General features: G+C 40.9%; 1 protein-coding gene across 4 annotated transcripts in view, besides 2 other annotated features; it reads right to left on the bottom strand.

Moving 5' to 3' along the window:
• KIF2A (kinesin family member 2A) overlaps positions 1-17940 on the bottom strand; it is an 84820-nt gene extending 66880 nt beyond the window's left edge. For 3 of the 4 annotated variants that reach the window (NM_001098511.3, NM_004520.5, NM_001243953.2), the window contains exon 1: positions 17610-17940. In NM_001098511.3, the coding sequence (NP_001091981.1) occupies positions 17610-17673 (64 nt within the window). In that variant the 5' untranslated portion in view covers positions 17674-17940. Of the gene's footprint in view, positions 1-15634; positions 15838-17609 lie in introns of all 4 variants that reach the window. The other variant, NM_001243952.2, reaches the window with a different exon arrangement.
• Positions 9283-9784: an enhancer, noted in NCBI's record as "H3K4me1 hESC enhancer chr5:61610189-61610690 (GRCh37/hg19 assembly coordinates)". NCBI's record gives its function as "activates a minimal SCP1, AML or CMV promoter by ChIP-STARR-seq in naive H9 embryonic stem cells {active_cell/tissue: H9 hESC(naive)}" and the evidence as "EXISTENCE:reporter gene assay evidence [ECO:0000049][PMID:30033119]".
• Positions 17207-18236: a silencer, noted in NCBI's record as "silent region_16051". NCBI's record gives its function as "represses an Ori minimal core promoter by ATAC-STARR-seq in GM12878 lymphoblastoid cells {active_cell/tissue: GM12878}" and the evidence as "EXISTENCE:reporter gene assay evidence [ECO:0000049][PMID:35858748]".

Genomic DNA, 27100 nt, shown 5'->3' with positions numbered 1-27100 from the left:
ATTCCTAGGTATTTTATTCTTTAGGTGGCTACTGTAAATGAGATTCTGTGCAGAGGCATTTTGAAAAAGAATTTTCATTAAAAATTATTTATTTATTTATTTTATTTTTTTTGAGACAGGGTTTCCCTCTGTTACCCAGGCTGGAGCGCAGTTGCATGAACACAGCTCACTGCAGCCTCAACCTCTGGGGCTCAAGGGATCCTCCCACCTCAGCCACCAGAGTGGCTGGGACCACAGGTACATACCACCATGCTCGGCTAATTTTTGCAGAGTAGAGACGAGGTTTTGCCATGTTGCCCAGGCTGATCTCAAACTTCTGGGCTCAGGCGATCCACCCACCTCGATCTCCCAAAGTGATGGGATTACAGGCATGAGCCACTGTACCCAGCAAAAAAAATTTAAAGTGTTATGAAAAATTGCAAACTTACACAATAGATGATAACCCCCTACATTCAGCTTCACTAATTTTCAATATATGGCCAATCCCACTGCCACTTCTATCACAACTGGATTATTTTGAAACAAATTCTAGCTATCCTATCAACTCATCAATATTTACTTCAGAATGTATAAAGCTATAATTTTATGTGTTTTTAACATTCTTCTTTTTTTTTTTTTTCTTTGAGACAGAGTCTCGCTCTGTCGCCCAGGCTGGAGTGCAGTGGTGTGATCTCAGCTCATTGCAAGCTCCACCTCCTGGGTTCACGCCATTCTCCTGCCTCAGCCTCCCAAGTAGCTAGGACTACAGGCGCCCGCCGCCGCGCCCGGCTAATTTTTTGTATTTTTTTAGTAGAGACAGGGTTTCAACGTGGTCTCGATTAACATTCTCCTTTTTAAAAACCTTTTCTAATACATTTATTTTTCCATCTTTCTCAGATTTTTTTTTTTTTTGAGATGGAGTTTCGCTCGTTGCCCAGGCTGGAGTGCAATGGCGTGATCTTGGCTCACGGCAACCTCCACCTCACGGGTTCAAGCGATTATCCTGCCTCAGCCTGCTGAGTAGCTGGGATTACAGGCATGCGCCACCATGCCTGGCTAATTTTGAATTTTTAGCAGAGATGAGGTTTCTCCATGTTGGTCAGGCTGGTCTTGAACTCCCGACCTCATGTGATCTGTCCACCTCGGCCTCCCAAAGTGCTGGGATTACAGGCATGAGTCACTGCGCCCGGCTTTCTCAGATGTTTTAATAAAGCTGATTTTTTTTTTTTTTTACTAAATTGAATCACATTCCACTAATCTATTTTAAAGTAACATTAAAAATATGATCATTAAAAAAAAAAACCCAAAAACCATAAAACAATCTTTACCATATTTACCATTTAAATGCTATTTCCCATGCATCTCTTAATGCCTGGTTTTGTGCTGTGTTTACTATGGTCTCTGTAAATATTGATACATTATACCATATATGCATATATGTGTGTAGGTACACAGATAAAAGGCAACCGTTTCCCACCCTTCAACTCTGGTAACAAAGAGATGACTTTGAGACTAGAGTTGCAAGGTATTTCAAGGCCTTATTCATCCTTTACCAAAGACTTGCAGCATATTTGCTGTCAAATGCTTAATTTGTTTTCTATGTTAAAAGGTCAAGAACTAGTGTTAAGATCAAGGAAGAACATAAACATTTTAGGTAATATAGTCCATGGAAAGGCCTACATAAGTAGTAGGACATAAAGGTAGGTCTCATCTTGGATTAGACAATGGTTTCTTAGATATAACAAAAGCAAAAGCAACAAAAGAAAAAATAGATAACTGGACTTAATCAAAATTAAAAATTTTTGTGCTTCAAAGGATACTATCAATAAAGGGAAAAGACAACCCTCAGAATGAGAAAAAATATCTATAAAGCATGTATCAGATATGGCAGTAGTATCCAGAAGTTTTATACCTCAACAATAAAAAAATAAATATTGACTGGGCACGGTGGATCATACCTGTCATCCCAGCACTTCTGAGAGGCTGAGACGGGAGGATCACTTGAGCCCAGGAGTCTGACCAGCCTGGGTAACATAGTGAGACCTTGTCTCTCCCCTACCCCAATCCCCTCTAAAAAAAATTAGCCAGGCAAGGTGGCTTGTGCCTGTGGTCCTAGCTACTCAGGAAGCTGAAATGGGAGAAGCACTTGGGCCTGGGAGGTAAGGCTGCAATGAGTTATGATCATGCCACTGCATTCCAGCCTGGGTGACAGAGTGAGACGCTGTCTCAAAAAAAAAGAGAAAACATACCAAATTATAAAGTGAACAAAGGATTTGAACAGATCTTTCTCCAAAAAAGACATACAAATGGCTGGGCATGGTGGCTCAAGTCTGTAATCCCAGAATTTTGGGAGGCCAAGGTGGGCGGATCACTTGAGCCCACAAGTATGAGACCAGCCTAGGAAACGTGGCGAAACATGTCTCTACAAAAAATATAAAAATCGACCGGATGTGGTGTGCATCTGTAGTCCCAGCTACTTGGGAGGCTGAGCGGGGAGGATCAGTTGAGCCCAGGAGGCAGAGGTTGCAGTGAACTGACATCACACCATTGCACTCCAGTCTGGGAGACAGAATAAGACTCTATCCTTTAAAAACAAACAAACAAACAAACAAAACAAATGGTAAATGAACACATGGAAAGACGTTCAACATCATTAGTCATTAGGGAAATGCAAATCAAAATCACAATAAAATGCCACTTCATACCCACCAGGACGGCTATAATAAAAAAGATGGAAAATAACAAGTTTGGGCCAGGATGTAGAAAATTGGAACCCTCAAATATTACTAGTGGGAATGCAAAATAATATAGCCACTTTTGAAAATAATACAGCAGTTCCTCAAAAAGTAAGTATAGTTACCATATAATCCAGCAATTCCACTTCTAGGTATAACCCACAAAAACTGAAAACAATTTTCAGTTCTTTTATGTCCACACAAAAACTTGTATATGAATGGTATTCATAATGGCCAAAAAATGGGAAACCCAAATGTCTATCGATTAATGGATGGATAAATGAAATGAAATGGAATATTATTCAACCATAAAAAAAGTACTGAAATATGTTACTATACTGATAAACTTGAGTATGGATTATGCTAAGTGACAGATGCTATACACTAAAGGCTATGTATTGTACAGTTTCGTTTATACTCAATGTCCAAAACAGACAAATCTACAAAGATAAAAAGTTGATTAATGGCAGATACTAAAGGCCGGAATGAGAGGGGAATGCAGAGTGACTGCTAATGGGTATGGGTTTCTTTTACAGTTTGTCATAAAAATGTTCTGAAATTGGACAGTGGTAATAATTGTACAACTTCATGAATATACCAAAAAAAAATCACTGAATTGTGCACTTTAAAGGGCTCTTTAGGTTTATTAGGTTAAAACTATAATATTTATTTCTCAAAAAATTTTCACTAAAAAATTACTTTCTTCTCATAATCAGACATAATATAGGATATACTCTTTATTTTTCTATATTGGCTATGACAGATAAACACCAGAACTTAGGTGTTTTCTATTATATGTTTGGACCTCATAAACACTTCATAAATTAAGCATGTCATCCCTTACAGGGCCACTTAAAAAAAAAAAATGCTATAGTCACAGCCTGAACTTCACAATCCAAGCTAGCAAATTTCAAAAGTGTAATGTACACTGTGTGGATAAGAGTATGAGGAAACAGGCATTTTTGCAGATAGTAAGGTAAATTCATATCTATGGAAGACAAATCAGCAAGATCTATCAAAATTACACATACACAATTATCTGACCCAGTGCTTCTACTTCTAGGATTTTTTCCCCTACAGATATATTCATGTATGTATAAAATGTCAAGAGTTGAAGGCTATTAAATACTACAGTATTGGCTATGCAGCAGCTACAGATTAGGCACAAATGTAAATGTCATCAGTAAAAGACTGGTTAAATAAATTGTGGTATATTTACTCACTAATGAAATGCAGTACAAGAAAGAATGAGACTATTATTTATCTACTCAAAAGTTCTCCAAGATATCATTATTATTAAGTAAATTACACTCCAGTATATACAATATAACATCTGTAGGAAAAAGGTATATATTTACACATATTTATACTACATGTAGATAGAGATATATAAGCAGAGATTTTCCTGAAAAATGAAAAAGAGGTAATGCTCTACAAATATAAGAAGCTAGTAATATTTTTGTCTCTTGGAGAAGAACTGGGTAGCTAGCTGTGGGGTAGGGGTAGGATGGAGACTAATAGATATATACATACATACATACATACATATATATCATTTTGGAACTTCATTAGTCATGGGACTATATTGCTATTCAAAACAGGCAATTAAACTTAAAGAGAAAATTACAAGTATACATTAAAAACAGTGACACACACCTTGTCATGTCATATTCTTGATGCCTGGAGGATGAACAACACAAGTCAATTTTTTAGAATGTCAAAACTTGAATAGACAGAGCAGTGAAAGAGAAGCTGGAAGTTCATTTAGTCACTGATTCAGCAAACAGATAATTTATAAAGTGTGCAGAGTGCCTGTGCTAGGCAGTGGGGAATATAAAGGAACTTGAGTCTGACCAGACACAAACATATAATACAATACAATGAGTTTTTTGACAGAGCAAACAAAGGGGACTCGCCACTCATAAAGCAGGGGACCCATCTTAGGCTAGGAATCAAAAGGAGATACAGCAGTTAGCTAGGTTAGTTAGAAGTGGAGTGTTCCAAGAAAGTTCAGCTTGTCTGGAGTATAGTGTGCCTCAAATAAGCAGCAAGAATAAGACTGAAGAGGCAGGTTAGTTTGTTCAGGGTCCACCATAAGCCATGTTAGACTTGGGCTTCATAAAAAGGGCAACAGAAGTAGAGAACACTTTCAAAGTTTTAAGCCTGTGATCAGAGGGTCAAACCTACATGCCTGAAAGGTTACTCTGAAACAGTAATTAACCAAATTATTGTTTTGGGTTTTTTGTTGTTGTTGTTGTTGTTGTTGTTGTTAACCAAATTACTCTCCTAGGTAGAGAGGCCTATTAGGAATTTGTTGCAACAGCACAGGCAAGACATAATGCTAGCATGACCAAAAGTTATAGCGGTAGGTACAGAAAAAGTGCAGGAAGAGTTACTTGAGTCATTAAATTAAGAGACCATGGTAATAAGGCTATAAGGTCAAGAAAGAATAAGGAGTCAAGGAAGACAACCAAGTTTCTGACTGGAGCAATAGAGTGAATGAGAAATACTGAAGTAAACTTGAGGAAGGGGTGATGGGTTCAATTTTGGACATGCTGAATTTGAGTGTTTATGAGATATCCAAATGGAGATATGCAGTAATCCATGACATATACGAACAGTACATGTCTGTAGCCAATGTGGGCTAAAGAGAAGCATTTAGTTTACCCAGAAAGAGAATACTATGTGAGAAGTACTGCAGGGGTAGGATCAAGCCCTGAAGAACATCAATACTTAAAGAGAATGGGGAAAGAAGCACCTGTAAAGATTAAAAAGGAAAAAATCTGAGTAATAGAAGGAAAAGAAGCTCTACTTATTTTTAATTAAGAAATTGTTCTTAATGGAAACCCAAAACAGCATGTACACTTAAAAGCAATGTTATTACTCTTAATAAAACTGCAACCAAAGAGCATATAAAGAAAGCACTTACCATATACTTAGAGCGAAGTTATAGGCAACTCTCAGTATCAGCTATAATTTAAAAAATAAACACACAACCCATATATAATCCCAAAATAATTTCAAACAATGGGCTTATAAAAATAAATTTATGGCCGGGCGCAGTGGCTCACGCCTGTAATCCCAGCACTTTGGGAGGCTAAGGCAGGCGGATCACGAGGTCAGCAGATCGAGACCATCCTGCTCAACATAGTGAAACCCCATCTCTACTAAAAATACAAAAATTAGCTGGGCGTGGTGGCACATGCCTGTAATCCCAGCTACTGAGGAGGCTGAGGCAGGGGAATCGCTTGAACCAGGGAGTTGGAGGTTGCAGTGAGCTGAGATTGCGCCACTGCACTCCAGCCTGGTGACAGACCAAGACTCTGTCTCCAAAAAAAAAAAAGTCCACTAAATTTGGACAGGCCCCCAAATCAATCTATTATGTCAGCACTTTAGCAAGTTGCTATAATTGTTACTATTTTCCTGACAATATTGTTGCTCATCTAATATGAGACATCCTTACGATAGCATTTGTTCCTGTTTAAATTGTCTAAAGTCTTGTGAGCAAGAGAGTTTAAACATAGGCAATAGCAAAAGAGACTGGAGAAAACTAGAATGTCTTTGTCAAATTACAGAGCCACAGAGCATTTGTACTGAGTGCAATAGCTACTTATTATTTTGTTGTAGCTGGCAAACTAACTTCTTCTAGAGAAAAGTCCTTCAACTAATTCTTCAAAGAAATCAGATGAAGGGACACATGATGGCCATACAGCAAATATTAGTTGGATTAATAAAAACACCTGATTAATAAAAAGTATACCCTAGAAAGGAAAAGAAAAGCATTATGAAATTAATTATGTGACTTCCAATGCCCGGAACATTAATAGGGCACAAAAATGAATTACAGTCTACAATGAATTAGTATGTAGAGGATTTTGGGGGCAGACAAACTATGTTCTAATCTCAGATTTGCTACTTATTTTATGTATGACCTTGGACAAGTCAACTTCCTCATTATAACAATATAGGCAAGTTTTGACCAACAGCAGTATTTCATCAAAGAGCTTTCTGTGGTTAAATTCTAAGATGTACCTCACTAATTAGGGCCCCTAATTTGTTCTCATTTCTTAAAAATCTTATAGGTGGCTGGGCACTGTGGCTCACGCCTGTAATCCCAGCACTTTGGGAGGCCAAGACAGGCGGATGACCTGAGGCCAGGAGTTCGAAACCAGCCTGACCAACACGGAGAAACCCCATCTCTACTAAAAATACAAAATTAGCTGGGCACGGTGGCGCATGCCTGTAATCCCAGCTACTTGGGAGGCTGAGGCAAGAGAATTGCTTGAACTCGGGAGGCAGAGGTTGCAGTGAGCCGATATTGCACCACTGCACTCCAGCTGGGCAACAAGAGTGAAACTTTGATTCAAAAAAAAAAAAAAGGGCTAAAGTTGCCATACATATGTGAATCCTTTTTACTATACTATAGCTCATTGAAAAATTTTTCTTCTAACATTGGCCAATAGACTATGCATGACAAAAATGAATGGCAAAATTTTACCTTAATTGTACACCTATATGACTAATCCTCATTCATAAATTATAATTTTTTTGTCATTAATTGGTCCATTATTTCAAGAGTGGTTTTAACTTTTAACACCTAAAGTTTGCATCCTCTCCTCCCCAACCTTTTTTAGGTTCACAGCAAAATTGAGTGGAAGGTACAGAGATTTCCCGTACAATTCTTAACCCCACACACCCTCCGCGCTATCAATGCCCTGCACCAGGTACACTTGTTACAATTGATGAACCTATCTTGACACACCATTATCACCCAAAGTCCCTAGTTTACATTAGGGTTGACTCTTGGTATTGTACCTTCTATGAATTTGGCATATGTATCATGACATGTATCCACCTTTATAGTATCATACAGAATAATTTCACTGCCTCTGTGCTGTGCCTATTTATCCCTTGCTTACCTCTTTTTAAGTCCTAAATTGCAAACTGTAGTTAAGAGATTCTGAATACTGAAATGGCACTTAGAATCCTAAGGGTGAAAAAGAGAAGGCAAATGCCAGGACAGAAAAAATAGGCCAAAAGTAAGAGCAAAGAAAAAGTAAAAAAGAGCAGCTGCATTTCAAGAAATAAAACACCTCATCCCTTAAAGAGATGACGTCATATTCTTTGTGTACTGCTTTTCCTTCTCATTCCGTTCCAAGAATTCTGAGAGGGTCCTGGCTAACACACTACAGCTCAGTACTAAGAAGGCAAAGTACTTAGTTATAGCTTAAGCAAATTCCCATTGCAGGTAAACATGTAATGGAAGTGATTTATACCTTAAACTCAATTACTTTTAGGATATTAGTGGCAAAAACTATATGCAGCCTGAGTTGGATGCTCTCTTTGATATTACCTTGATAGGCTCTACAGTCCTCTACACTGTATTCTTGAACAGCGTTAGCCTGATTAAATAAAACTGAAGAGATTTAAAAGCTATACTCAGACTTTGCAAATGTTAAGTCCTTTCCTTTCAACTCATCTGCCCTTTATTCAGCACAAGGGATATATTGCAATATAACATCAATTCTTCTTGCTGTGTGTTCTGCATATCATCTGTTCCTTAATCATTGCTCACCCTCCTAGACTGATGCAATCTTATCCATGCTACCTCTCATTTTCAGTACTATGCTCCCTCTAATCTATCACTAATCACTAACTCCTATTACTGCTCTTAGGAGATTAAGTCCTATAGTAGTTTCCAAGTGTCCTAGAAATTAATTCCAAGATCCTTACCTTACCTCTGTTTCCAGGTCTTTAATAAGGTGCCCCAGATTACCCCTCCTCCCTTATCTTCTTCATCATCCTCCCTCTGCCTGTTTTAAATGCCCTTCACCTGACAGCTTTGTTTCCAGTCAGGGACTTCTTCCATGCTGCCTACATGGCTAGAATGCCTCCTTGCCCTCAGGGCAACCGACTGGTCATCTTCCTCTCACCATTTAAACTTCACTCTCCAAGAAGTCTTGTCAGATACTCTGTTAGGAGATACTACTTTTACTAAAATAATGGATCACAACCCTGGCTATACCCTGGAATCACTAATGTGTGACAAGTTAAGCTTCATCAGTATGTTAGGTGCCTTAAAGTAAAATACTGATACCTAGACTACATACCAGACAGAATCTCTAGGCAAAGGAACCAGATATTGGCTGTGGTGGGTTGCTTTTTTTTTTTTTTTTTTTTTTGGTCTGTTTTTTTCCACAGCCCCACAGGTGATCTATTGAGCAGCCAGAGTTATAAACCACCACAGGCTGAGCATTCTTTAATCCAAAATGCTCCAAAATCTGAAACTTTTTGAGCACCAACATGACACCATAGTGGAAAATTCCACACACGACCCTGTGATGGGTTGCGGTCAAAATGCGGGCATAAGGCCGGGTGTAGTGGCTCACACCTATAATCCCAACACTTTGGGAGGCTGAGGCAGGTGGATCACTTGAGGTCAGGAGTTTAAGACCAGCCTGGCCAACATGGTGAAACCCTGTCTCTACTAAAAATACAAAAATTAGCTGGGGATGGTGGCACGTGCCTATAATCTCAGCTACTGGGGAGGCTGAGGCAGGAGAATCACTTGAACCCAGGAGGCGGAGGTTGCAGCGAGCCAAGATCGTGCCACTGCACTACAGCCTGGGTGACAGAGTGAGACTCCATCTTAAAAAAAAAAAAAAAAAAAAAACAGTTCATTCTCAGCACAGTATAGACACTCAGCAAATTTTACCACAAGTTTGTTCCCTGCTGATCTTGTCCTTCCTTTAGGTAAAATGTGGTCAAAATTAATGCCAAAACCTACAAAAACCTGGAGAAAAAGTCTTCAAAAGTAAATAAAACATAGCCCAGGGAGGAACCTGATTCTTACAGTTCCCGGGCCATAATGTGTAAGGAGTTTATATCCAAATTACACATAACCACCAGTAGCTGCATCCACTGCTGTTTCCCATGCTCTGCTTCCTTGGTCTCTGTTTGTTTGTTTTGAGACAGTGACTTGTTCTGTCACCCAGGCTGGAGTGCAGTGGCATGATCATAGCTCACTGCAGCCTCCAACTCCTGGGCTCAACCAGTCCTCCCACTTCATCCTCCTGAGTAGCTGGGGCTACAGTCACATGCTACCAGGCCTGGCTAATTTTATTTTTTGTAGAAATAGAGCCTCATCATGTTGCCCAGGCTGGTATCCAACTCCTGGCTTCAAGCAATCCTCCTGCCTAGGCCTCCCAAAGTGCTGGGATTACAGGCATGAGACACCACACCGAGCCAGTCTCTATTTACAAGTACCCAAACCCAGGATATCTAGAGAGAAACCTGCTGTCAGGTGCTGGTCTGCCAAAAACTTTAAATTGAATAAATTTGACCAGGTATGGTGGCTCACACCTGTAATCCCAGTACTTTGGGAGGCCAAAGAGGGAGAATTGCTTGAGGCCAGGAGTTCAAGACCAGCCTAGTCAACATAGCAAGACCCCATCTCTACAAACAATACAAAAATTAGCTAGGCATGGTTGTGCATACCTGTAGTCCTAGCTACTTGGGAAGTTAAGGTGAGAGGATTGCTTGAGTCCAGGACTTGGAGGCTGCAGTGAGCTATGATCATGCCACTGCACTCCAGCCTGGGTGACAGAGCAAAACCCTAAAAAAAAATTCCTTTTGATACCAAAACAATTTAAAAGTTATAAACTTATAACTCAAATAGGTACTAGAGTATAGGAAATAGGCTAATAATGACAATGCCAATTTCAATTGGCAGACTAGGGCTATTAGGGCTGATAATGCTGTATTAAGAACTCTGAGGCTGGCCGGGCGCAGTGGCTCAAGCCTGTAATCCCAGCATTTTGGGAGGCTGAGGTGGGTGGACCACGAGCTCAGGAGTTCAAGACCAGCCTGGCCAACATGGTGAAACCCCATCTCTACTAAAAATACAAAAAAATTAGCCGGGCATGTTGGCGCATGCCTATAATCCCAGCTACTTAGGAGGCTGAGGCAGGAGAATCGCTTGAACCCAAGAGGCAGAGGTTGCAGTGAGCCGAGATCACGCCACTGCACTCCAGCCTGAGCAACAAGAGCGAGACTCCCTCTCAAAAAAAACTCTGAGGCTAAATTCATCAGGAATGCTATGAGGGATCACGGATATTGGTCATAGAGGAGGAGAGATGGCATATATGACATGTATTTTCCATCCAAAAGGTCCATAACTTCAAGAGTCTAACAAAAAAGCCTAATCTTCAAAAGGAAGGTAGTAATAATGTACACACAAAATGGCATATTTCTATCAGTACTAATCACACTATAGATGAATCACTTATTTACTTGTTTGTGAGGGCAGGAACTATTTTTGCTTTATTCATTTTTTGTATCTCCAACACCTATCAGAATGCCTGATATATAGCAGGCTGTTAATAGAAGTATATTCAATGAAATCTGCAATAAAAAAAAAAGAAACATAAGACCACATTATTTTGATATGTCATAATCACTTAAGGTCTATACTCCAAAATATCACACACCCTAGTGAATGACCATCTGAACTTCGTGTTTTATTGTAGTGGGTAATGATATCATAGTGCACTATAACCTCAAACTCATAGGCTCAAGCAATTCTCCTGCTTTGGCCTCCAAAGTGCTGGAATTACAGGCATGAACTACCATGCTCAGCCTAGAAGCATGACTTTTAAAAGGAACACTTCCCTCACTCATATTACTCTTGGGAGATAGTTTAATATGGTGAAATTCTAATGTCTCTTTTCACTTAGCACTATAAAACCACTAATATTGCTTTATCTAAAAGAGCTGGAAGACAACTTAACCTGTATTTGTTCTACAACTGAACCAGAAGAATAAAAATTAGTTTTATCCAAGGTTTAAAACTTGTATCTATTCTTAAGAATCGTAATCTCAAAACAAACAAACAAATAAACAAACACCTTAAAATTATTTTAGGTTACAAAACAGATGTGTTAAAATTAAAGCAGATGGCTGAATCCAAGAATTAAACTTTGCAAAAGATTAATGTCATATTAATCACAACTATACTTCTGACTAGAAAGAACGGGGTCTAGATGATCTCTCAGGGAATCTTGTTCTGGATTTTCCACACTCTTGCCCCTTGTCTTATTTGAGCAGACACAGATTTAACTGGCTCTTTGCTGTTTTCTCTAGCATTTTAACAATCATGACACATAAAACAAGTTGACACATAGCCTTTCCCCAGAGTTTCAAAATCTTTGTCATAAGAATCAAGTGGCTAGGCAATGAATACAGATTCCTGGCTTTCTGTGGTACTTTTGGAAGCAATAAGTGCCTATTTTAAGTTTTTTGAGCTTCTTTGGTAGTAGTGGAAAGAATTTTACTACAGGGGTTTGTATGTCTCAGAAAGAAATACTAAAGTATACAACTTCACACCATAATCAGCAAACATCTGTCAGCAGCACTTAGAGAGCTGGGAGTGAAGGGATTCGGGCTTTGGCCCAGGCTATGCTCCTTATTAACCATGTGATCTTGGCAAATAATCCAACCTCAGATTCTTCACCTATAAACCAATAATCTGCCACCTTTCTATCCTGCTTACCTCATAGAGTTCCTGTGAAGATCCAATTAGCTAACATGTCTTGAAGCACTTGGAAAACTATTAAGCCCTAACAAATCCATATACAGAAACATTATCGTCCTAGTCCTCAGGGAAAAGGGAACTATTAGGTCACAAATGCCCCTATTCCATCCCACCCCCATAATCAATCACATAATTGTACCTAAAGAACAACTGTATTGCCACATGGTTCATCTTTATTACTTAAATTTACACATGCTATTCTCCAGAAGCCTATATAGTGACGTGTAAAGATGAACTAGCAGAAGAAAAATGTGGCAAAGCATATAAAGAATTAGGCCATTTAAAATCTTTTCTAAAGATTTTCTTTGCCTGCCCTGAACTCCAAAATTCCTGATGGGTCCTTTGAAATCTTCAATTGCCTCTTGATTTCAGATGTTAAAAGGAACTCTTTACACCAATACTTAACTAAGAAACAAGAATACTTTCCTCCCACAATTTTAGGTTTGGTGAACTTGTAGTAACATAGCACTTCTTACCAGGGATCATTCTAATCAAGCTCTGTAACACTGCTCGCTGGTGCCTTTCTCCGAAGTAAGAAGCAATTTCCTACATCTTGACTGGGCTGTAAAAAGCGGTATACGGTTCCAAAATAACAGAGAATTCCTCCTTTACTGTCATAGTTCTTGATAGTCTGATTTCTATGCTAAGCATGTCAGGTTCCTGGCTGCCATTGACAAGTTGTATGAATCTAGATAAGTCACTTATGGTGATCTGGGACTCAAGTTTCCACATTTATAAAAATGAAAACTAGTTTATCTCCAAAAACCTTTCTGGTGGAAATATTCTAAGATTCTCTTCAGATTACATGTATCAATACAGTCACAGTACTGTGACTAAGAGACCCGCCCCCAAAGAACAATCCCATATTAGCTGCAGCTTCCAAATGTTCAACATTTCCCATTTCTTCCCCAGTCCCCAAAGGGTAGTCACAGCTACTACAGAACTGTTAACAGCACAGCTAAAAGAAAAAAAAAACCAAACTAGCTACACGACAGAAAGATTGTAGGTTTTTTTAAGAGTCAGTGGGTTTTAAAAAGGGAAAGGAATTGAATCAGAAAAATAGGAAGACACATGTAAGAAAACACACCAGTCCAATTTCATACCAGGTTATCTCCTGTGGCAGAGAATAATCTTAGCAGTCCAAGCCTAACCCCTGTCACTGATAACCTTAGAAAACCAGAAAAGTCAGATTAACCTTAGCAGATCACTCAATTTCAATTAACGCTGTAGTTCCTGACTAACAGGCCAGCGGGAAGTAGAGGGCCAGAGTAGGGAGGTAGCAGTACAGAGGAGCACAGATGGAAGGTTTCACTTCCAGCTAAGATGTCATTCTAATGATTAATTAAAATGTTTGAAAACAAAAAATCCAATAATGTATGATTTATTCAAAAACGATGTGCAAGGAATTTTGCTAGACATCCCAGTAGTGGGGGTGGGAATGGGGGTAATGACACAGATGCATTCAGGGAATTTAAGAGTCATTAGAGGCTGGGCACAGTGGTTCACACCTGTAATCCCAGTACTTTGGGAGGCTGAGGTGGGTGGATCACTTGAGGCCAGGAGTTCGAGACCAGCCTGGCCAACGTGGCAAAAACCTGTCACTACTAAAAATACAAAAATTAGCCGGGCATGGTGGCACACACCTGTAGTCCCAGCTACTTGGGAGGCTGAGGCATAAGAATCGCTTGAACCTGGGAGGCAGAGGTTGTAGTGAGCGGAGATCGCACCACTGACAGAGCGAGACTCTGTCTCAAAAAAAAAAAAAAAAAGAATTATTAGTTATTAGTAAGTCCCATTACCCCATGCAGTTTAAAAACATAGTATTAAGAATATGTACCCATAGGTATGAGCTGAGAGGAGTGGAAAAAAAAAAGTTACAGACCCAAACATTAATACTTAAGGAAATATGCTGTCTCATGAATAATACAGAATGATTTAGGAATTCAGATGCTGACTGGCCATCTGGTTTTAGTAATCAGTGAAGACTCATTAGGATAGTTTTCATCATGGTCTTGAAAGATAGGAATAAGCTCATTTTAGTGTACCTGTTTGCCCTTGGGATATGTTTATTAGTGTAAGAGTATCACTGATGGGAAAAGTGTGGTCTGAAATAGGGACATGGATCGCCATCAGCAAGCCAAAAGAAAAACATCAAGTCACCAGTTAATAATGGTCTGAAGCAGCCCTTCTTTACTCATGTCATTTCTACTGTCTCAGATATTAGTGTTCCTCCAACTGCAAAGTTTATTTTTGTTATAATAACCACTAGTGTTTTATCCAATATAGACGTTATGGAAGTGAGAGGAAGCAAACAAGCTTCTTTAAAGTGAAAAAGGGAAAGCTTGAGGGGCATTCTCCCAGACATCAATTTCTATTGTGAAACACTACTGTCCAATGCAAATGATCCTTCTGTTCTTTCGAAGTTCTCTACTAATCTCCTGCCTTCCACCAACTCCATCATGCATCTGAGGCACATAAAAAGATACATGACCATAGGTTAGGATAATAACACACTGTGATGACTTCCCTAATTTCTTATAGGCAAACCGCTTTTGAAATGTGGCTTTAGGTTAGTAGCACTTATGTAAGAACACAAAGCTCTTGTATGTCTGGGAACTTCTGGTATAGGCTGAAGGTGAAGGCTGAAAAGAACGAAAATTGCTTCAAGTTCAATAAATTTAAATAAAATATGCTCCGTAGAAATTAAAATGTATAAATCAAATATCATATACTTTTTCTGATACGATTTCAAAGTTAACACCTATACTCATACTTATGAGTGTAAAGAATTTACACATTTTATTGCACCCTAATTTTTTAAAAAATAAATTTCATTGTGCAACTGAGGTTTACAACATGATGCTATGGAATATAGACAGCAAAATGGTGAAGCAGATTAATATAGCTATCATTTCACATACTTTAACAAGAGCTGCTAAAATCCACTTATTTAACAAAAATCTCTAATACAATTTTACTAACATTGGTCCCCCTGTATCTCTAAACTTGTTCATCCTACATATCTGCTATTTTGTATCCTTGACCTATATCTCCCCATTTCCTCTCCTTCCCCACCACCAGTAGTAACCACTGTTTCGTTCTGTGTATTTTAGCTCCTTAAAAAAATATTCTACATATGAGTGAGATTATGCAATATTTTCCTTGGTGTCTGGCTTATCTCATTTAACATAACGTCCTTCAGGTCCATCTATGTTGTGGTAAACAGTAGGATCTCCTTTTTTAAGGCTGAATAATGTTCCATTGTACATTGTCTATACACACACATAAACGTATACACACACACATAATTTCTTTAGCCATTCCTCACCCATCGATGGACATTTAGGTTGCTTCCCTATCTTGGCTACTGTGAATAATGCTGCAATGAACGCGAGAGTGCAGATATCTTCACAAGGTGGTGATTTCCTCTCCCTTGGGTGTATACCAGGGACAGGTGTTGCTGTGCACCCAGAATCTTCAAAATAATATGTAAATCCTACTTTTGCTGGTATACTGTGAACTCGTATTTACCTAAAAAAATGACATTAACAGCACTCTTTCAAGAAAGTAATCTGAAGAGAAAATATAAAAGAAACCTCAACCCAAGTAAAGAAGGTATCTCTTTCCCATTAGTGTTATTGGTAATTTCTAAAGCTCTAAGCGGTATAATTTATCTTTTCATATACAGGATAACGATGGTTTCAGTTGTTACCACAAATTACTTCAAATATAACGGAGGAAAAAATCATTAGCTATATAGGGTCTTCCAATATATCATACACACAACATGAAAATCAATCTAGCTTCACGTAACTTGGTCAAACCTGGCAGAATCCAAGGGGCACGTGGACGTGACAGCCAAGTTACTACTGACTAGGCTAGGCTAAAGGTTAATAAATAAGGCACTCATAAAAGGAATCGAGGCCAGGCGCGATGGCTCACGCCTGTAATCCCAGCACATTGGGAGGCCGAGGCAGGTGGATCACTTGAGGTCAGGAGTTCGAGACCAGCCTTGTCAACATGGTGAAACCCCGTCTCTACTAAAAATACAAAAAATTAGCTGGGTGTGGTGACAACGCCTGTAATCCCAGCTACTCAGGAGGCTGAGGCACAAGAATAGCTTCAACACGGGAGGCGGAGGTTGCAGTGGGCCGAGATCGCACCACTGCACTCCAGCCTGGGTGAAAATCCGTCTCAAAAAAAAAAAAAAAGGAATCGGTATGAGAGATGGAGTCAGGAACACTGCTCAACTCGAGATTATCACACATCTCTCGTTCTTTCAATATTGGTACCGAAAGAAAATAATTTTACTTATCTCCCTCCGTGCATTTATTCCTTTACAATATGAATTATTTCCAGTCTGGCTGGCGTATCTCACTCCACACCCCAAGCTAGTGTCATAAACCATTTTCCCCAAGAGAAACCTAGAGAAAGATACATAAGCCTAAGGCTCTTAAAAAAAAAAATGAAGCATGTGTCTTCACCTCGCCTTACACTTTTCTCAGTTACCTCTCCCGAGGGTGTGAAAATATCAACATCCGGTCGCCCACCCCCACTCTCTCAGCAGTGCCTCGCATTGACTCTGCCCATCCCCTATCATTCCCTTTACAGTCTCATCACCTTGGAGAAGCCCATCGAATATTTCTTCCCATTGCTCCCCCACCCTTATTCATGGCTCAGCGCGATATTCTCCACATTTTTCTCCCAAGAAGTGGCAAAAAAGAAAGCAGCATGGTCGACGACGAAACCGGGGAGGCCTGACAACCAGACGGCAGTTTAAGGCGACGGAACTGGCTCTTTCCCCCCATCTCGGCCTCCGACCAGCAGTCGGTTCTCTAAATGTGAAATCGCTGGTCTTCCCGCTCCCCCACCCCCATCCCCATCCCCGTCAGAGGCCAAGCCGGTAAAATGCAAAGACCAAGGGGAAGCGCGAGGCAGGGTCATCCCTAACGAAGCCCGCTCCCTCCCGGGCTGGTGTCCCCGGGGGGGGGCTGGAGATTGCGGGAGGAGGAGCGAGCGGCCCTCGCCCAGAGACCCCCGGAGACGCGACCCTCGACACCCGGGCCCTTTCCCCACCCGGCTTCCCTCCCCCGCGGCCCGATCCGGAGAACTGCAGCAGCGCCCGGGCGGACCCCAAGCCGGCCTCACTGGCACACACGCCACACACAAAAGCGCCGCGGCCGCCGCCTTCCCACCCCCACAGCCCGGCGAAGCAATCAATGAGGCGGCCGGCGCCCGCGTCCCCTCCGTGCACACCCGAACACGGGGCCGAGCGGGCCAGCGGGGCTGGCAGCGCGGCTCACCATCGCTGCGCTTGATCTCCACGTAAATCCCGATCTGGATCTTGCCGAAGTTGGCCGTTGCCATCACCTCATCTGGAGCAGCAGCAGCGGGCCGAGGGAGGGGGACCGGAGGGCGGAAAAGGCGGGGAGGGGGCGGGGTAGGTGTGGGAGGGGGAGCGGTTGCCCGCGGCCGCGCCGGCCCGGGCGACAGCGTGAACGCAAGCGGGGCCGCAAGGAGCAGCTGTGGGGAAGCAGGCGGAGGCCCCGGGCCTGCAGGCCGGCAGGAGGACGCGCACGCCGGGTAGTCGGGGTGAAGCTAGGGCCGGGGCCGTGAGACGGCGCGGGGTAGAGTGGGAGGGCCCGCACCGCCCGCCGGGGAGCCGACGCTGGGGAGGCGGGGCGCCGCGCGCCTGCGCAGAGCGCGCCTCCGGCGTCTCTTCTTCCTTTTCGGCTGGCCTCTCCCCGCTGCCTCCAGGCGGCCCCGCCCAGCTCTGCAGCGGGGTGGGCGGCGGCCGCGGCTTACCCAGCCGCTGGAGCGTTGAGCGCTCGGCCCGGCCCACAGCTAGCCGGCGTCGCGTTTGATTTCAGCGCGCGGCCTAGAAGACGCGGGAAGCGTCGCGCCGAGCTTTCTTGCCCTCTCGCTTCCGGGAATTGGCGCTGTTGCCGGAATGGGTTAAAGGCCACGTGGTTTCAGGGGCTTTCTAGCGGGCTGAGGGATGTGAATTCAAGGGCCCTCCGTTGACAGTACGGGATCCGGGTTTTCATCGGAAGGTGGCACCCCCTATTTCCACTTACAGGTAGCTGACCCAAGCAGCCCTCCCAAGCACACTTGGTGTAGGTTTCCCATCCAGTTACGCTGGAAGGGAAGAAACACCCTTGAGGTGTCACCTACCCTAAATCGAAATGAAGATCCACCCCTTTACAGTCTTGCCTTATAGTTTATCACACTCAGAAAGAAGCTCTGTGGTGGGGCGTCCTTAACTGTTCAGGTTATGAGGCATCCGATGCTGGTGCCCTGTTTCTGCTGAGGGTTCAAGACTTACTTGCCTTGGCCTGTAAAGCCAACAACTGTGACTCAAGGGAAGAAGGCAGACACATAAGGTTGACTAGGGAATGTGTCTTTTTGCAATAATTTAATTAGTCTGACCACATCAGCAATGTGGAAAGCAAGACTCTCCATCCTGGCAGAGCAGGAAGGCCACGTGTACCGGGGCCCTGGAAACTGTATTTATAGCACCGTGTGAAAACCTCCAAACGTCTAACTCCTGCTTGTAGTACTGGCAATTGATAGGTTGGAAACAACACTTTTCATGGCCTACTTTCCCTAGTCATTGTTTTTTGTTGTTGTTGTTTTGTTTTGTTTGTTTTTGAGGGGGAGTCTTGCTCTGTCGCTCAGGCTGGAGTGCAGTGGCGCGATCTCCGCTCACTGCAATCTCTGCCTCCTGTGTTCAAGCGATTCTCACGCCTCAGCCTTCCGAGTAGGTGGGATTACAGGCCCGCGCCACCACGCCTGGCTAATTTTTGTATTTTTAGTAGAGACGGGGTTTCACCATGTTGGCCAGGCTGGTCTCAAACTCCTGACCTCAGGTAATCCACCCGCCTCCACCACCCAGAGTGCTGAGATTACAGGCATGAGCCACTGCGCCCGGCCTTCCCTAGTCATTGATAATCTCCCTGTAACAATAACTACAAATATACAATTTAAAATTTTAAAATTGGAAACTGGATATATACATCAATGCTTATGTGGATATATGTGTGCCTAGAGTTTTCTATCTAATGTAAGTAATCATGTAGGTCCTTAAAAAACTGTTAAAAGACTGGCTTCATCTGTAGCTTGAACATATTGAAGGTATACCTGTCAAAAGAACAATTCTATTGAATCCATTCTAAAGTGCATATAATTTCTATGGAAAAAAAACCACACTGGATAGACAATGTGGAAAATAACTTCTTTTACATTCCAGAAATGACACACTTGAGTACCCCGGTTTCAAGTGAAATTTGACCAAATCAGGGTTTAGTTTTTATTTTTTCTATAATTTTGGGAGTTTTATCTGAACTCTTCAAGCTCCTGTCTAGAATTCATTTTCTGATGTCTCTGCAACTGAGGTATAAAACATCTATTTATATTTTATTTATACTTTATAAAGAATGCAAAGAAATCAAGCTATACAGCTCAAAGTTAACATTGTTTCATAAAATATTATTATTATTATTATTAGAGACGAAGTCTAACTCTGTCGTGCCTAGGCTAGAGTGCAGTGGCATGATCTCAGCTCACTGCCACCTCCACCTCCCAGGTTCAAGTTATTCTCCTGCCTCAGCCTCCCAAGTAGTTGGGACTACAGGCGTGTGCCACTACGCCCAGCTAATTTTTTGTATTTTTAAAATAGAGACGAGGTTTCACCGTGTTAGCCAGGATGGTCTCGATCTCCTGACCTCATGATCCTCCCGCCTCAGCCTCCCAAAGTGTTGAGATTACGTGAGCCAACACGTCCAGCCAATAAAATATTATTTTGTATCGTGGTTGCTGACACATACCTTACACTCTGTGGTTTATATGGTTAATCTTAACCTTTAATCCATATAAAAGGTATTTTTAAAATATGTACATTGTTTTGCTCCATAAAAATGTATGACATAACACTTAACAAACACAAAACCTTTCCTTTATAAGACATACCCAAAAGGCTTACTTTTTTTGGTACACATCAGCATATGTATTTACCAAGACTTTCATTATGGGCTTTGTATGCTAGTGGCTTCCTAAAGAGCAGCCATAAATACATGCAATGTGGCTATGTTTCCATCAACATCCTGGATCAAATATTCTAACTCTGGCTGAGACATTAACAAGATATATAATCCTAACTAGAACTACTACTAATAAGATCCTGAATTAGTAACTACTAATTAATCACTAAGATATATACCCTACTAAGAACTACTGTTTTTATTAGGATTATATAGTCTGCACTCAGACATTTGTTCAATGAGTTAACTTCTTAAACTGCTCAGTATCTCAGTTACCTCTTTGATCAACCTGGAATAATAACTTACATTCTCTCAATCACAGAAAGTTTTTGTGAGGACAAATGAAATAAAATGTGATAGTGCCTTGATATTTATAATTTTTTTTTTTTGAGATGAAATCTCACTCTGTCGCCCAGGCTGGAGTGCAATGGTGCAATCTCGGCTCACTGCAACCTCTGCCTCCCGGGTTCAAGCAATTCTCCTGCCTCAGCCTCCCGAGTAGCTGGGATTACAGGCACCTGCCACTACACCCGGCTAATTTCTGTATTTTTAGTAGAGATGGGGTTTCACCATGTTGGTCAGGCTGGTCTCAAACTTCCGACCCCAGATGATCCACCCGCCTCAGCCCCCCAGAGCACTGGGATTACAGGCGTGAGCCAACGCGCCTGGCCTGTAATTTGTTTTATAAAAGTAAACCATCCTATAAAATATAACCCAGGCCAGGTGCTGTGGCTCATGCCTGTAATCCCAGCATTTTGGGAGGCCTAGATAGGAAGATCCGTTGAGCTCAGGAGTTTCAAACCAGACATTTGTATTCACATTCAGCTAAGTGAAAATACCAGGTGAAAGGCTGCTGATCACTTAGATCATGCAAAAGAGATAATATCATTTTTTTCTTAATACCTATCGCTGGCTTCCCAGAATAAAATCTGAATTCTTTACAAAACTGTACGCGATCTAGCTCTGGCTTCCTCGGCAGCCTCGTCTGGTGCTGCTCTCCTCTCACTCTGCTCCATTTTCGCAGAACTCCTTTCTGTCCCTTAAATCAGTCAAGATCTCTGATCAGGATGGCTGCTCTTGCTCATCTTTTCATGTGACTGATTCATCTTCCAGGTCTCAGTCAAAAATCACTCCTGGAAAAAGCCTTTCCTTGTCCCTCACCTTACCCCCACTTTTCTCAATCTGTCTTTCCTCCCCAACTCTAAAGTAACCTCCTCAAGGGTAGAAATCTTGCCTAAAATTCTTCACTCTATCTTTGGCACATAGAAGGGTACCTGGAACACAGCTGCTCAGCAAATATTTGTTGAATGAATGAAGGAAAAGTTTAATAATTTGTTATATGTTGCCAAATTTATAGCCTTAGGTAGTCTTTTCTCTCTGTTTGTTTGTTTTTTTTCTTTTTTTGAGATGGAGCCTCACTGTCGCCCAGGCTGGAGTGCAGTGGCATGATCTCGGCTCACTGCAACCTCTGCCTTCTAGGTTTAAGCAATTCACAAGAATCGAGATTCTCACGCCTCAGCCATCTGAGTAGCTGGGATTGCAGGCATGTGCCACCACACCCAGCTAAGTTTTGTATTTTTAGTAGACGACGGGGTTTTACCATGTTGGCCAAGCTGGTCTTGAACTCCCGACCTCAAGTGATCCGCCCACCTCAGCCTCCCAAAGTTCTGGGATTAGAGGCATGAGCCACTGTGCCTGGCTCATCTTTTCTCTTTCTGAATAAGCTCAATTGGTAATAGATTTTCTCATTAATATGACCCAGACAATCAATATTTAATGTTTCAATCATTTGAACCTCAAAAATCTCTAGTAGATATAGATTAGTGTATATGTAATAAATGTTTATAAAAATTTTAGGCTGGCACGGTGGCTCATGCCTGTAATCCTAGTCCTTTGGAGGCTGAGGCGGGAGAGTTTTTTGAACCCAGGAGTTTGAGGCTGCAGTGAGCTGTGATCCCACCATTACACTACAGCCTGGGTGATAGAGTGAAACCCTGTCTCAAAAAATAAAAAATAAAATTTTAAAACAAAAAGTGTATAAAGTAAAATGAAAGGGAAAGCCCTCGTTGCCCTCCAAGTCCCATTTTCTGGAAGTGGCCACTGTTAAGTATCATATTAATCCAATAATTCTCAATCTTTATTGGGCATAAAAGTCATATGAGATGATTGTTATGCAGACTCTTGGGTCCTATCATCAGAGATTGTGATTCAGTAGATCTAGTTTGAAGTGTAGGAATATGCACTTTTTTAACATTCACTCCAGGTGATTTTCACTCCAGGTCAGGTGATAATTCTTTTTTAAAATATATTTTACAAAAAATTTTAAGCCTGGGCAACATAGTAAAAACCTTGTTCCTGCAAAAAAAAAAAAAATTAGCTGAGCGAGGTGGTGCGTGCCTCTAGTTCCAGCTGCTCTGGAGGCTGAGGCAGGAAGATGGCTCGAACCCAGGAATTCATGGCTACAGTCAGCTATGATTGCACCACTGCACTCCCGCCTGACAGAGCAAGACCCTATCTCTAAAAATAAAATAAAATAAAATGAAATAAATTTTATTATATATATGATTTTACCTGTGTGACTGATATTTTAAAGAAATCATGCTGTATATACTGTTCTGAAACTTTCTTTTTAAAAAAAGTATATATATATATATATATATATATACACACACACACACACACACACATATTTTTTTGAGACAGGATCTCACTCTGTCACCTGGACTGGAGTGCAGTGGCTCAATCATGTGTCACTGCAGCCTCCGCCTCTGGGGCTCAAGCGATCCTCCCTCCTCTCAGCCTCCCAAGTAGCTAGGACTATAGGTATGTGCCACCACACCTGGCTAATTTTTGTATTTTTTTGTAGAGATGTAGTTTCGCCATATTGCCCAGGCTAGTTTCAAACTCCTGGTCTCAAGTGACCTCCTGCTTCAGCCTCCTAAAGTGTTGGGATTAAAGGTGGGAGCCACTGCACCCAGCCTAAAATATATTTAGGACCTCTTTTCATGCCAGTGTTCATAAATCTATCTCTGTTTTAATATCTGGCTATTATTCTACTGTATGTGTGGATAATAGGGGAATATGTAAGCAAACAAACACTTAGATGGATATTTGGGTTGTTTCCATTTTATCTTTTGCTTTTATCAACAATGTTAAATGTAAACATTATGTACAGTTGCATGAATATTTCTTTAGGATAATTTCCTAGAAGTGGAATTGCTGAGCCAAAAGATAAATGTGTATAATTTTGGTGAAATTGGGTGATTTTTAAAAATGTGGTTCTGATGTTATTTTAATGTTTTTGATGTTACATATCAATTATATTTTACACAATATTTGAACTAAGGATACTATATCATCATTTTTTATTATGAATCCATGGCCTGCCATACCCTCACTCATTTCTGTAGATTTCTAGATTTTAAGCCAAATTCTCATCTTGGACATACTGACATGTTCTGACTTCAAACTTGTGTGCAAGCCCTGGCTCAGGACTTGCTCCAGACCCCTGCTATAAATTCACAACTCAACTCCGTGTAATTTCGCAGGGCTAGCTGTTTCCATGCCTGCCTTGTAGAGTACTCATCAACCCTGTAAATCCATTCCCTAGCCTGGTTCCCCATAATCTAATTCCACCCACAAGCTTGTTACCTACTCTAACACATATGGAACAAACAATACAAATAGTATGTAATTAAATGCTAGTTTTGTGGTACAGGCTGTAAGTAGACAGTAGAAAGTCAATGAGAACTAGAGCAGTCAGGAAAGATTTCCTGATGCTAAAGTTTTATGCTTTTCTTGGTTTTGTGTTTTATTTATGAGCAGTGAAGAAGTTCAGTTTAAAAAGGGAGTATCCTCTGGTGGGTGCTAAGGTTTTGGGGGAAAACAAAGGGGACCAGGGAGTAGGGTTCAAGAGGTGTGACTTCAGGTAGGCCCTGAAAGATGACTGGGACTTAAACAGGCAGACAGCAGAAAAGAAAGCAAACAAGGCAAGAAAAACCAGAAACAGAGTATTTTTATGTGGCCACTTTGATGTGGCCATTTTGATGCTAGCTAGTTAAAATGTAAACATTACCATGTCTTTTTTAACTAGAGTAACGTATGCAACTAGACATTTATGATCTCTATTCCATCCCATTCCATGTTCACTCCAAATATAGTAGACTTCATTTTCTACTTTAGTTACTTTTGTTGCTTAACCTTTAGGTTAGTATGTATTATTATTATTGAGATTTTTTTTCTTCTAAGTGTAGGATAATGAATGTGGGCCAGTTTACAGGAGGGAGATGGAAGAGACATATCTGCCGAAAGATGTACACATTGAAAGTAACTAGAAAAATCTTTAGGTGGGATACAATTACGGCAGGCCTTGAAAGCCATGCTGAGACGTTTACCCTTGGGAAGGGCAGCAGTAGGGAACTTCTTTGAGAACAGACATGACATGAAGTCATAGAGCAGCATGTGATGTGATGGAAGCAGCACAGGCTTTGACGTGTGACTGACCTGGTTTCCAATACCAGTTTTGCTGCTTATGATGTTTGTAGCCTTGGGCAAATTCCTGACTTTTCTGAGTCTAATTTCCTCATCTATAAAATGGGGGTACCTTATGTCATAGAATTTTTGTAACAAATAAAATGAGGTAAGAGCTATAAAACACTTGGCACAAAGTAAGCCCTTGATAACCAGTTGCTATAATTATTTAAGGAATATTAGTATAGAAGTATTTTGCCAAACAGATTGGAAGAAGGAGAGTTTTGCATCAGGATGGTCAGCGAGGAGACTCATGAGAAATCCAGGCATGGAATTATTCAAGTTTAAATTAGTGGGATGGCAGGGAACAAGAGTAAGGGCCAACACACATGAGATGTCAAAAATGGAAACTGATTACATATGAAACATAGAGGATAAAGGAGAATAACATATGTAGTCTTCTGATACTCAAAAATTGAGAACATTATTATTTTATTTTATAGGAAGTAGTCTATATTGGCATTACTATGAAATGTAGTTTGAGAAGCAAGAATCAAGCAAGATGGGAGTCAAAGAGTATATAGGTAACTGATAATTTAGGGAAATATATTAAAGATACAACTTCAGGTGACAAGATTTTGTTGGAAATTATTATCCTGGTTTACTAATACCAACTGGTGGTAACATGAAAATTTTACAATCACATTGAATACTTGTAAGAAGAAATTACCTACCAGTACCAAAAGTTAAATAAACTGTGTTTACCTAAAGCCTCTTTCAGGGTTCAAATTCATGGAATGCAAAGCAAAAACCAAATTATTTGAAGCTGTATTTTGCTTTGTATTTTTCCCTGATAGAAAGCCCAAGTCAGCCCACTTTGGATTTAGTATTACAGTGAACATTTGTCGTTACCTTCTCAATAACCCCTTCCCTCTTCCTAGCAGTACTATGAATTTCTTAATCATATGGTTTGGATAGGACTGATCCTTCCTCCATGTGTAGTCTGATTAGGCAATCAGTGTAGGTCATTCTCCCCCATCCTTCCCGCCAATGATTGGTTCATGGATGAAAACATTCCCCCACTCCAGACCAATAAGAGGCAAAGAGTCTCAATTCTCAGGTTGATTTGAGTTGGGGAAGCAAACTCCCAGTTCTCTGGAAAAAAGTAGCTCCACAGTTGTTGGCAGCCATCGTGTGACCACAAGAAGAGGGCCTGGTGAAAGGGAGTCGACCCTGGAGGAGTGGAGCCAAAAGAAACTGCATACCTGTCCTAATTCTTGAGTTCCTGGGCTGAATGAAAGCTATTTGGAATCAGATATATCTTTTAGTTTTTCTGCAGCATAATCCATACATTCACTTCAATGTTTCAGCTAGTTTAAGCTAGATTTTCTGCTACCTGCCACTGAAAATCTCAACTAATACAAGTGCCAAGTCATTTATGGGTGTCAGTACTGCCTTCGGCTCTGCAGGATATTGTCAATGTCATGTGTTATGGACAATAAATGGATCCTAGGTTGGGATTTTAATTTGTCTGTGCTTTGGCAAAGTTTATGGCAGAAGCTGAAATCACTGAGGTGCAAATTTCTGTAGGGCAGTAGAATCCTTAGAAGAATTTAAGATTGTCTTGTTAGCAGATATATTACAAGTCAGCTTCTAGGACTATTTTCTGAAATCTCCTATGAAGCTTCATTTTACTGTTTAAGCGAGTACTAGGAGAGATGGTGCTAAAGATATAAAGCAGCTTAGGGGAATGATTTCAGCTTATTTTCTAACCTCTTAATGAGAAGTATTTCTGCTACATTTAAAGACATAAAAAATTTGGTATTTAAATTTTTACTTTGAAATAAACGCATTGTTTTCTCTAACATCCCAACAACAATTTGAAGATGAGACGCTGTTTGAAGTCATTGAGTAAATATATGTCCTTATTATTGAACATAAGGATTTCAGAATTCTTGAAGGAGTCATTTTTCTGAGGGTGTAGAAGCATTTACCTTTAAATCATATTACCTGAAGAGAATGTTGCAGGAGTAGCCCCAAGCCTTGAGGCATTTGTGGCCTTTGAAGTGCTAGCCAGTGCTATGGTTAAGAGTAGTAGCTTAGACAATGGATGAAGACTACGTGTAGAAAAGAAAACACAGAAAAACCACAAGCTGGTCTCAGCAAACCCATGAAGGTTTAGTTTATGGTTTTGAAGTTGTAGGGCTGTAGTTATGACAAATTCAGTCAGATCAGTTCAAAAAGAAGTAAATGGATCCTGCAGAGGTTTTGGGAAGATGGAGCAG

This window comes from Homo sapiens, chromosome 5 (genome assembly GCF_000001405.40).
Source record: "Homo sapiens chromosome 5, GRCh38.p14 Primary Assembly".
In the NCBI taxonomy this organism is placed as follows: domain Eukaryota; kingdom Metazoa; phylum Chordata; class Mammalia; order Primates; family Hominidae; genus Homo; species Homo sapiens.
The sequence above is the reverse complement of the archived record's forward strand: the minus strand, read 5'-3'. Positions and strand labels throughout refer to the sequence as shown.